The 11,595-nt window shown below is 41.4% G+C and overlaps 1 pseudogene; it reads left to right on the top strand.

Moving 5' to 3' along the window:
* Positions 8,811-9,215, top strand: ALDH7A1P4 (aldehyde dehydrogenase 7 family member A1 pseudogene 4; annotated as a pseudogene).

Genomic DNA, 11,595 nt, shown 5'->3' with positions numbered 1-11,595 from the left:
GCCTTGTATCTTGCTTGCTGATGAAGCTTTAGGAAAAGGGAGCAATGATTGTAGATAAGTCTCCCATTCCAGCATGGCTCTGCAGCAGCAATAGGAAGGTCTAGGCAGAGAAAGCCTGAAGCAGTACCCAACAGGCCTGCAGTCCCAGGAGATGCCAGAGAGCCAAACATCTCCCATTCCCCTGAGATGAGTATTAGAGTGGCCTTTTGGGTTTATCATTTTTTAACACATAAATCCATAACTTCTATAAATGTTAATCATGTTGCATTCTAGTTTTCCTTTCTCTTATTTAGATGTCAAATAGCTTATAAGCTTCTGGAATCAACTGTGTGATCTTTGAAACCGGCAGCCTGAGAACAGAGCAGGAAGTAGATTGTTCAGCCTTGGATGCCCTGGTGAGGGTCCCAAAGATCAAAGAACATGCTCCTTTGGAAGCCATTGTGGATGGAGGCAGGGTTGCCATCAGCTGGCACTAATCAGGAAGACCCCACCGTATACCAGTCAGTGTCTGTTCCAACTGCTTGTTACACCTTTTGAGTATCACACCTACTGATGACCTTGGCCTGATGCCTATTGCCTGATGCCAGCAAGTTTCAAACGCCTCCTCCTGCAGCTTGTATCTCCCCATGGGGATAAGGAAAAAAGAAAAAGAAGGGAGCCTTCTGAAATGACTGGTGATGCCCTCCCAAGGAGACTGGCATAAACCGGAAGTGACTAAGTTTACCTTGATTGTCGAGCTTAAGTTTTCCGCTATGAGTTTGTGAACTAATTTAAGCTCATTTACAGTGAATTAAAAAGAGCTCCATTTTGTTTTAACATGTAAAATTCATAACTGCTACAAATGTGAATCACTGCATTTGAGCTTTCACTTCTCATATCTCGATGTCAAATGTGCCCCAAAGCCTCTAAAGCAATCAGGCATTTGCTAGAGGAGATCTGAGGGGAAACATGTTCTTTTGAAATTTTAGAGGGTGGAAAGAAGGGCTCAATGGGGGTGTATTACCACAGTAGAGTCTCACTTACAAGCTGGCATGATAGAAATTGACCTTTCTACTTTTTAGGGATTGAGAAAACTGTCAAGCAAACCCTTGACAAAGAAGAGGCTGAATAATATGTTTCTTTCACATGAGTTAAAATCAGGAGTACTTGATTTCAAATAGGAAAAAAAGAAAATGGAAGAAGTATAAAAACCAAAACAAATAAAACTAGAAAGAAAATGGACTAATGTTTACAGCTTACCACATAGAGTTAGTCAAAGGAGGTTAAATATTCTTCTAGGGAAGAGATTACCAATATCTCTGGGAATGAATTTTTTAGTTTTAAGAAATAAGTAATTTGAGTCCATATATAAGAGTGGCAGGTAAATTCGGAAAGATTTAAGGCAGGTCTTCATGGAAAAGTTAGTTGTCCCTCAAAAAATTCTCCTTTGCCTGGATAAACAGGATGGGGTCATTGGGTGGTTAGGGACCCAGAGACATGGACCATGAATCCAGAGATGGGTTCATCAGATGGAGAATGAGTGCCTCCTATAGAAGCAGTGTAAACATTGCTAAACATTAAAGTGGGTAATTGAGACAATGCAGTCTCCTTCTCAGGAGGTTATGAAAAACAGGAAACATTTTCATTGGTCTATGTGGGTTTTTGACTACTTCAAGGTGAGAGACAGCTGGGTGAAGCAGCTGGGCCAGTTCTAGTGAGCATCTTGGATTAGTGCTATACTAGATTATCTGTAAATATAAATTACTTCCATTTGACATTTAAAACAATTGTAGAATTTTTCACTTTAGTGGATCACAAACAGGAGGTAAAAATGGAGAAAATGGGGAAATATCAGTTACGTGGGGCAAGGGAGTTGGTTTTATTGGCCTCTTAAGATCTACTTTGATTTTAATAAGTCAATGTATGTCCCAAAAATTCCACTGGAAGATGTTCCATTGGATTACTACAAAGTACCGTCAAGTAAATCCAATAATGATATTCATCACAGCCTGGGAAATGTTCAGAGAACTTGCTGCACTCAAAAAGTACTTGTGAAAGTCATTGTTCATTTGGTATCTCTGGGTCTCAGGATGATTTTTCTAACTCATATGGGATCAGGGCCACCTCTAGACTTACAGGGCCCTGGAAATTTCTTTTTCTTTTTCTTTTTCTTTTTTTTTGCAGGACCCCAATCTATATAAACTACTGGATTAAAGCACATAAAATTCAAGGACCCATGTGAGGTATAGTCATTTATTAATGAAGATTTAGGATAATGGATGAAGAAGTGATACTTACATATTTGTTTATTGTCCAGTCAGTGCATGTAAAGATTCTTCATGGTGTCCAGGCACCATTGCTTCCTATTCAGGTTCAGAAACCACTTCTCTGTGTTCTTTGTTGTCAAATACACCATTTCTGGCTAACTTCAAATCTCCCACCATGGGAAAAAGGTGAGAAGTATGTTATAATACTCACAGAGCCTGTGAGAGTATTATAATACCCATACAGCTCTTTGGAGCCTGTTTGTATGGGAGCAATATGGATAGACTTTCTTGCCTCTTTACATCCCTAATAACCATTTATGTAGTGCTGGTCATACCATTACTTATGGCACCTCATCCTCCCTTGTGCACACTGTAAATACTGGCCTCCAGTGACTCTCTCTAGGATTGTTACTATGCTTCTTAGATGATTATCACAAATGCAAGCCTTACTCAGAGTATGTAAAAAAATGGGAACAATAACTCACTTTTTGGTCATGTTAAATTTATTATTTGCATCTTTATAGTATAAATGTAGAATAACATGCCTTTCAAGTGTGTCTTTTCTTGAATGCCTTGGGCTATACTCATTGCATTCCTAGGGTTCTCCTTCCATGGGCCTAGTGAGAAGAGTAGTTTCATTCCCACAAAAAGATCAATGTGGGAAAATGCAAGGTCCACATTGATAAGATGAGGGAACGTCTATTGTAAAGATCCATGGCCACTTGCATTGTGGAGCAACAGTCTCCAGAAAACTCAGAGATGGGTGAGGCCACCCCTGACCATCTGGCATGTGGCAAGGAGCCTGTAAGGGTGGAGCCAGAAGTTAGGGTGGGAGTGGCATAGGATGAAGGACACCTGCTACTGCCCTACCAGCCTGGGGTTCTGTAGACCGGAGGCAGCACCACCGTGGAAACACTGATAGGTCCACAAAAGCCAGACTCAAGTCCAGGATGGGCAGTGAATGCAGAACCCTGAATAATCCTGTGTCCAACATGAGTGAATCACCCCAAATCAGTATGTCATTGCCACTCTGGCACAACATTATGAGATCCTGCAAAATAAACACCACACTTGTCCATAGGGGTGACCTGTTTACCAGGCCACTCTCCTGGAACAGGGCCTAATCACAGGCCTGGATAACCACAGAGAGGTTCCTTGGGGTATGTGGTCAACCCCACAATGGGGCAGAGGGTTGGAGAGTATCCTGAAAAGGAGAAATGGGGGCCAGAGCTCATGCAAGTCCCAGTGTGGGATGGGGTGCCTGATCCCAGACACCTGAGGAAGACTTGGAAAAATTTGCACAAGACATCCAAAGTGCAGGTAACCTGAGGTGTGCAGGGTAGGTCATAGGCCTGGATCTAAGGGTGGTACTGTGTAGGGTCTTGCATTGTAGATTGGAAGCATTGGAGGGACGATGTGTAGACAGCTATACTGTTGAACTAGAGCTGGAGAAACTTCAGCCTTTCACTTTGCAATTGTCTGTCACAGTGAAGTTGTACAATTTCCCGAAAGACAACAGCCATATATAATTTGTTAGGGATATATGTGTATGTATGTGTGTGTATTCACCTAATGCACACATGTGTACACACACATTTTATATATAAATGCATATAAAATAAGCATATATAATGTATATAAACTAATATGATTTAATGTATATATTTTTATAAATGTGCATATGTAAGTATTATGTATATCTTTTATATACCAGTAATCTCTCCCCTTTGGTAAAAGCGTATGACTTCATTCATTCACTCAATTTTTTAAAATTTATGCAATCTATTTATTTCAAAGCACCAATTTTTGTGTTTTTGATCCAATAAATCATTTCAATATGTGAAATGATGACACTAATCTTCATTTCTTCAGTTTGTAAGGGAGCTGGACAGGTGTATTTAAGCTGAATACCGGGTTTGCTTTACAATAATATTTTCTTTATGGTTGATACTTTGGTAAAATTTGGAAGATTTCTTATTAATTTGACTCTGCTTGTCTAGTCTGAATTTTCCTTTCAGTCTGTAGAACTTCTTGTTACATTTTCAACAGAATACTTTATAAAGAAAAATTATTCAGCAAATAAAGGAAATGAAAACCCCAATGGATATTGTGTAAGAATAGAGTTGTACCATTACCAATGAAATATTCTTTCCTATAAACAAAATGAGGAACCACCCTAGGAAATATTCAGTATACTTAAATATGCTGAGATCTTGGAAATTTTTACTATGAGAATACTACACATCACGGCATATTTTTGAGGGGTATAAGTTTCTCATTCTCTGCGTTCACTGGAATTTTGAGAAGTGGCACCACATATAGGCTTTGAGCTTTGTGACCTCTGAACTCAGTGGTGACACCAAGAGACACCTGGAAGTGTCTTGCAAGTGTGTTGGTCATATCTCATGTATGAACAGGGAGAGAAATAGGGTCAGAGTGGGCTTCACAGTGAGGCAGGGACAACGATGGGCCTTGTGGGCTGGCCAGTCGAATAGTGAGTGTGGTGGGCGGCGGCCCAGATGCCCCCTCAGGAGGAGACACACATTCCCCAGGGAGGTCTGGCTGTTGATGGATCTCAGCTGACTTCCTCTCTGAGCACTGCCCTTATCCAAAAGTTATGTCCCCTCCCAGGGGGCAGCCCATCTCCAGAGACTGGTCAATAGGTAGAGGTCACAGCTCCTTGACACAATTTACGGCAACTCTGAGGGGTCATCTCAGCTCCAGAGCTTTTTGTGGTGTGAGCTAAGTCCTCAGCTGTGGACAAATCATGGTTGAACATCTCCCTTTGCCCAATCTCTCTGTCCTTGCCCCTCACAGGTGTTCCTCGGAGCTTTTCCCGTAAGCCTCCTACACACAAATCTCAGCATTTCAGTGTCTTTTTCCAGGATGCCTGGTTTAAGTCACTGTCAGGCTTTCCAGGAAGAGGGTGACTTTGGTAAATAATGAGATGTCCAGTTTGGCTTGAATGTTGGGTTGATGCAGGGGCAAAGTGAGGTAGAAGTTTGGAAAGGATTTACTACAGTAGACCGAGGCAGGGTTGGGGGATGGGGAGGGTTGGCAGTTTTGAGCACAGGAATAATAAGATTAAGGAGCAGTCTTATGACCAGTTCAAGTCAAATGATCAGAAATTCCTTTCTGGTGTCTCAGGAACTATATTGTAATAAGAAAAGTAACTGAAAATAGTAGGTTTATAATGTGCTATCATTTGTAGGTGCAAATCTCATCACCATAAGCCATGTCTTTGGGTTTTTTTCCAAGAAGTAAGAATGAATCTGAGCGGATTGTCCACGTAAGCCATCTCCATGTGCATTTGCAGAATAGCTGGTAAGGGTCAGAGATATCAGCTCTTCCCTTAGCCACACTTGTTCCTACTTGTGAAAAAACCTGCTATGCACCAGAGATTATGTGTGTTATCTCTGAGCCTCACAACAACTCTGCCAGGTAGTATTATTTTCTCAGTTTCAGGGATGGAGCAACCCATAAGGGACTTGCCTAGTGAGAAATGGACAGAGATGGGATTCAATCCCAGATTTCTTTAGCTTTGAAGCTCCTGCTGTCCAGGTCAGATGAGCTGGTCCCATGAAGCCCATGATCTGGCCCTCGTGCTTGGGGCTCTGACTCACCAGGCCTAAGCGGTGACCAAGCCATGTGCTTATTAACCCTCACAAGTCATCTGTTCAAGTGACTGAAGCAGCCGGTCAATAGCTTAGCAGTTGACCTGAATGACTGTTCCTCCTTCAATCACAATAGTAATCATAAAGAGCACTCCTATATTTTATAATTTGCAAAGTCCTTTTATATTTCAAGTTGTTTGAAGTTGATGGAATATGTGGCAAGTGGGACAAGACATTATCTTCATTCTACAGATGAAAGAACTGAGGTTCAAAGAAGTCAATGTGTTTGTGTTTACCTGCCTCAAAAGAGGCAGGACCAAGCCCTGAATTCTAGCATTCCCCTTGTGCTCCACGTTGCTTCCTTTTTATTTTATTTTTTTGGTACAGAGTGTTACTCTATCACCCAAGCTGGAGTGCAGTAGTGATGTCAGCTCACTGCAACCTCCGCCTTCTGGGTTCAAGCTATTCTCATGCCTCAGCCTCCCTGGTAGCTGGGACTACATGTGCATGCCACCATGCCTGGCTAATTTTTGTATTTTTAGTAGAGATGAGGTTTCACCATGTTGGTCAGGCTGGTCTCGAACTCCTGGCCTCAAGTGATTCACCCACTTCGGCCTCCCAAAGTCCTGGGATTACAGGCATGAGCCACTGCGCCTGGCCCCAAGTTGCTTCTCTTAAGCCACTTACTCAAGCATCTGAGAGAGAATGAGGCTCTAAGGAGAATGTGTCTCTTACTTTCTTTGACCTTGGTTGAACCAAAATGCTCTGTAAATACACTTGAGATTGTCTGTGAAAGATTCATCAGCCAAGAAATAAAAGTGGCACATTCGAAGTGATTAAAAATGAGGTTCAACTGTACTGTAACTTGCTGGGTAGACACCAGTACTCTGGCACCTTTGTAATTGACTGTAATTATCTCTAATCATTATTCTGTTCTGGTGGATGCTTTCTACTTCTAACAAAACCTGATCTTTTCCCCTTGTGTCACCTGGAGGGCCCTTTTTCTAATCCCCCTAGGCTTGTCATTTAAGGTTGATTGCCATGTCTCACCAGCAAAAGAGCCATGTTATTAAAACATGCACCTTCTTTTTTTCTATACTTGAGTTTTCTGTGTCACTGTTTACCTGGAAGTTTTATTTTCATAAGTTTTAAGGGTTTTGTTTCAGTTTTAAAAGTTTCTTCATATCATCTCATCAAAACAACGATTGGTAAGCCCTGTAGTTTTGTGTTGGTTTCTGGCTCTGCAATATACCTGGTATTTGTTAGCACCATAATCCCACAGGAGAAAGGGATGAAGTCAATAACTGGAAAAAGTGGGATTTGCGGACAGTAGTCTGAGATGGAGTGGGAAGCGGTGCAGGAAGAGAGGAGAGGGGCCAGAGAGGGACAGAAACAGCTTTTGTGGAAAAATGCTCCCTTGGGGCTCAGTCGGGCATCAGGACTTCACTATTGAGAGAAACTTCCCCTTTTTGGCAAACTTCATGAAAGTGAATTGTGTGTGAAGGAAAAATGACCTCACCCATTACTTTGCTTTCCATGAAGTAAAAAGCAGTGGTGGAAATTTTCTCAGAAAATCAATTTGATTCCTCTATTTCTCTTGCTGTATGATTTTTAATGTTACTCAACATTTGGACCGTCACTGCTAAGTATGTCTCTCTTTTCCTCATTTGTATTTCCCAATCACTTTATTTAGCAGCTTGCTAAATATAATGCCCCCTCACTCCCAGTCTTTTTTTAAACAGATGAAGGATGAGGCAGGAAGTAGTGACATAATTTCCCTGGATTCGCATAGTAAGTTAACGACAGAGGCCAGGGCTGGATAAGAACTCAGATCTGCTCTTTTTGTAACTCTGTTCTAGGTCACCAATTGTAGGAGATGGACCACCCTTCCAAGTTGGAGAGTTTATCAGACATTAGCAACCCAGTCCTAAAGAAGAGGGGTAAACAGACCACAGCCCACAGCCCAGGCCCAAACCCAACCTGCTGCCTGTTTTTCTATTGCCCGTGAGCTAAGAATGGTTTTTGCATTTCTGTAGGCTTTTTGGAAGTCAAAAGAAAAATAATATTTCATAACACAAGAAAATTATGTAAAATCATAATTCAGGGTTTATAAATGCAATTGTATTGGAACACAGCCACACTCATTCGTTTACATTTTTTCGATGGCGGCTTTCATCACACTGCAATGGACGAGTCGAGTGGTTGCAACAGAAACTCACAAACCCTAAAATAGTTTACAATTTATAAATTATATGGTCTGCAAAGCCTAAAATATTTACTATTGGGCCCTTTACAGTAAAAGCTTTCTGATCGCTGATATAGAAGATTCTGAGGGCTGAGACACAGAATGCATAAGCATTAGATGGTTTGGGTCATGGTTTGGATCATGTCTGGGGGCCAGTGTTTGTTAGCAATATGGAGGCAGAAGAGGGAGGGCAATGGATGATGCTAGAGCAAGATTCTGATTTTTCTCAGGGTAGGCCCTGTGTGAATCCTTAAGTACATAAAAGGACTCCTCACTCTTTTAAAAAAATTGTTTATGAGCATTTCAGTATGGGAAATAAAAATGAGACTTAAAGAAATTAAGTGATTGTCTGAATGTCAAACAGCTGATAAGTGGCCTGCCTAGGACTTAAGCCCAGGTCTTCTCTTTTAATTCCAGGGTGCTTTCAAGTGCACCATGCTTCTGCAAGCCAGAGTAGCCTGAGAGAAGCCATGTTTATTGGCAGGAATCCTCTGTACTGAGAGGCAAGGGAGGGCTGTCTCTGGGCTTCCCGTAGCACTCCCTGGCTGTGCCTTTCTTGTGCTCATAGTATGCCCTGGCTGGTAGCACAAATGGCCCATGTATTCACATATTATTTCAGCAATCCAGAATATGAATCCTTTGAGCAAGGTTACCAGATTTAGCAAATTAAAATACAGCCAGTTAAATTTGAATTTTAGATGAAATTCAAACTATGGCATTGTAAATGTCAACATTCCAGTGAGCGGGGCTGAGGTTGGAGGTGCATTTAGAGGAGAAAAGCACACTGGTGGTGGCAGAAAGTCTGGCAATGATGCTTGGAAACGGCACATGTGAAGGTCTATTAGTACTGTCAACTACAGTGAGGACCTTCGTCTGCCCCAGGGAATCCAGTTTTAGTAAAGGTGTGCTAGATGGCCACTACTTTCATGTTAGGCATTCTTGCAGCTGTTTCTGAAGAAGACAAAGAAAGTTAAATTTTTCCCAGAATAAATGCATCATTATGACAGTGACTAATATCCTATGATCCTAAAGCCCTGATTAAATCAAGAGACTCATTTTTTAAAAATCAAAATAAAATAGTTATAACATAGCTGTATTTACTTTAAAAAGTTTTTGTTTGTTTATCTATATCCCATGAATATTTGAGTCTATTTGCATGACACATTATTTATTTATTTGAGACAGGGTCTCTGTCACCCAGGCTGGAGTGCGGTGGCACCATATCAGCTCACTGCAACCTCTGCCTCCTGGGTTCAAGCAATTCTCTTGCCTCAGCCTCCCGAGTAGCTGGGAATACAGGAATGTGCCAGCATGCCTGGCTAATTTTTGTATTTTTTTATGGATACAGGGTTTCACCACATTGGCCAGGCTGGTGTCAAACTCCTGACCTCAAGTGATCCACCAGCCTCGACCTCCCAATGTGCCGGGATTATAGGTATAAGCCACCATGCCCTGCCTGCATGGCATATACTTTTAAAAGTTATATTAAAAATTATCTGTTGCCCACCTGAAATTCAAGAGATTTTAAAAAATTTTTAAAGAGCAATTTTAGATTCACAAACAATTGAGAGGAAGGTACAGAGATACCTCAGATGCCCCCTGACCCCCAGATAATAAGGGGGCATAGCTTCCCCTATTATCAACATCCCCACCAGAGTGGGACTCTTCTTACAATTGAGGAACCTACATTGACATATCACAATCACCCAGAGTCCATAGTTAACCTAAGGGTATATTTACTCTTGGTGTTGTACATTGTATGGGTTTGGATAAATGTATGGAATGTATCCACCACTATAGTATCATACAGAGTCGTTTCACTGTCCTAAAATTTCTCTATGCTCCATCTCCTCTCACCTCCAACCTCTGGAAACCATAGATCTTTTAAAAGGTGCCACCATTTTGCCTGTTCCAAAATGTCACATAGTTGGACTCATATAGTATGCCACTTTTTCAAATGGGCATCTTTCACTTAGTAATATGCATTTAAGTTTCTTTCACATCTTTTCATGGCTTGCTAGCTATTTCTTTTTAGAGTTGAATAATGTTCCATTGTTTGTTTCCAAGCTTGGCAATTATGAATAAAGCTGCTATAAACATCTGTGTGCAGGTTTTTGTGCAGACATGTTTTCAACTCATTTGGGTAAATAGCAAGGAGCCTGATTGCTGGGTCATATGGTAAGAGTATGTTCAGTTCGGTAAGAAATTGACAAACTGTCTTCCACAGAGCCATATCAGTTTTCATTCCCATCACTGATGAACGAATATTCTTGTGGCTCCACATCCTCACCAGCATTTGATGTTGTCAGTGTTCTTGACTTTGGCCACTCTAGTGGGTGTATAGTGATAGCTCATTGTTGTTTTATTAATAATTTGCATTTCCCTGATGACATATGATGTGAGCATCTTTCGTATGCTTATTTAAAATCCAAATGTAACTGGGCATTCTGCGTTTTATCTTATAGCCCCGTCTCTAAGGGCAGGGATGGGTAATTTTATTTACCCTTTATTATCTCCCTTTTTCCTCACTCCCACACGCACCCCCACAATGCCCAATACAGTGCCTTTCAAAGATACTTATGTACTAAAATTTAATGAAAACCAACCTCTTCCAGGCTAAGCACTAGCTCCCCACTAGCTGAATAGATTAATTTCACTTTATTCTGATACCCACTATCATGGCAGGGTGAGTCAAGAGCCACAGAGGTCTCAGGGAGGGAGCCCTTTAGTCTGTGTGACAGAAATTGGAAAGGCTTCTCAGAGGATGTGATACCCAAGGTGGGTTTTGAAGTTAGAGTAGGAATTTATCAGACCAAGCCAAGGAGGGGAAATCAGCCATAGGGATCATCATGTTCCAAGTCTTAACTGCAGGAAAGAAAATGGTGTGCCTGGAAATCGTGGGATGAGCTGGTGATTGGAATGCAAGTATCTGGGATGTAGTAGGCACGTGATAGTGATTCAAAGATTAGTCTCCAAAGTTAAATTCTGCTGTTCCGTAAAAGTGGCCCTGGGATTTAGACTACCCATGATCCTTGTTCTCAATACTGTGAGTCTAGCTGTCAATTCTTGGACCACTAACCTAGCAGCTTTTACAATCAAGCCTGTGCTTGTTGGCTTCAGGTTAATCCCATGATATAGTTGCCACATCCTTGGCCATGGCCTGAAGGAAATCCCACAGGGAAGTTCCATATTTAGTTACTTATTTGAACTGGTATACTAAAATTTAATGAAAACCAATCTCTTCCAGACTAAGCAGACCCATGGCCTGCCTGGCCCTGAGGTTGGGCATCTCCTCTACCTTGAGGATCTAACTAGCCATAAGTGACTCTGTGATTTAGAGAAGTCTGGTGTTGGTTAACCTTATCCCTATTAATATTAACCTCATGCATGGCTGTCCTTTGTCTTTTCCCAAATAACTCTAATAGATAATGTGCATGGCATCTTCTATTTGTCCCCCTGGATGCCTTCTCCACCCATCTGCATCTTGCTG

This window comes from Homo sapiens, chromosome 10 (assembly GCF_000001405.40).
Source record: "Homo sapiens chromosome 10, GRCh38.p14 Primary Assembly".
In the NCBI taxonomy this organism is placed as follows: domain Eukaryota; kingdom Metazoa; phylum Chordata; class Mammalia; order Primates; family Hominidae; genus Homo; species Homo sapiens.
This window is presented reverse-complemented; position numbering and strand designations above follow the sequence as displayed.